Source organism: Homo sapiens, chromosome 19 (genome assembly GCF_000001405.40).
Source record: "Homo sapiens chromosome 19, GRCh38.p14 Primary Assembly".
NCBI lineage: Eukaryota > Metazoa > Chordata > Mammalia > Primates > Hominidae > Homo > Homo sapiens.
This window is the reverse complement of record NC_000019.10, coordinates 55,089,596-55,090,917: the sequence shown is the minus strand read 5'-3', so window position 1 is coordinate 55,090,917 and position 1,322 is coordinate 55,089,596.

Sequence of the window (1,322 nt, the reverse complement as noted above, 5' to 3'; positions counted from 1 at the left end):
CTCAAGCTCTGTGTTCCCAGCCAGAGGGAGGGCACTGTTTCCTGCTCCTGCTGGGGGGCCGTGCGTGTCCATGACCAAACCACTGGGCCACTTGGGTGGGTGCCGGGGGATGGGCTGGTGCTTACTCACCTGTGTGGTGAAGGAGCTTCAGGATGAGCCCCCAGCGGGAGCGAAGGCTCCAAGACGGAGCCCGCGTGATCGCAGGCGGGGGGCTGAGGGGAAGCTGATGGGGCAGGAGGGATCAGCGGGCAAGACCTCTGGGGCCAAGGATGTGGAGCTGGGGAGTTTGGGTTTTGCCATCAGTGTCTTTGAAACAAATTTAGTCAATTGCCAACATTTAACATTTGGAGAAATTTGTGTGTAAAAATCTGGAATTTTGGCCGGGTGTGGTGGCTCACGCCTGTAATCCCAGCACTTTGGGAGGCCGAGGCGGGCAGATCATTTGAGGTCAGGAGTTCGAGACCAGCCTGGCCAACATGGTGAAACCCCTTCTTTACTAAAAATGCAAAAATTAGCAGGCGTGGTGGTAGGTGCCTGTAATCGCATCTACTCTACTTGGGAGGCTGAGGCAGGAGAATCGCTTGAACCTGGGAGGCAGAGGTTGCAGTGAGCCAAGATCGAGTCACTGCACTCCAGCCTGGGCAGCAGAGCGAGACTCCATCTCAAAAACAAACAAACAAACAAAAAACAAAAAGAATTTTGCCTTCTTTTGAAAGAACAGGAATCTGTGACAATATGAACTTTTCAGTCCTGCATAGCCACCGTTGACTAGAGCTGAGTAGGAGCCATCTTCTGAGATGAGGCATTCATTCAACAATTAGTATAACACCAACAGGAAGAACAGGACTGAGTGAGTACAGTGTGACTGATCATTACTGAACAAAACAAAGATCCAATACTTTTAGGAGGGGGGCATCCGATGTTAAAATAAATGTATTTCAAGGTGGCGGCGCTCTGGAGAAAAGAAAGGGGTTGGGAAGGTGGGTGCACGTGTGTGCACATGTGTTTTGAATAGAGTGGTCTAGGCAGGCCTCAGGGAAAAGCTGGTGCAGGCAGATGGTTGAAGGTGGTGGAGAGGGAGCTGTGTAGGTATTTGAGGGAAGGGTGCTCTGGATGATGGGAGCTCTGTGTGTGGAGACCCTGGGGAGGGAGCTGTGTAGGTATTTGAGGGATGATGGGAGCTGTGTGTGTGGAGGCCCTGGGGTAGGGCACCTGGTGTGCTGCAGGAAGCTGAGGAGCTGGAGAAAGCAGGGAATGAAGCTAGAGAGGTCACGGTGGCTGTGTGGAGACTTGGCCCTGGGAAGGGCTTGAGCTGTGAGATT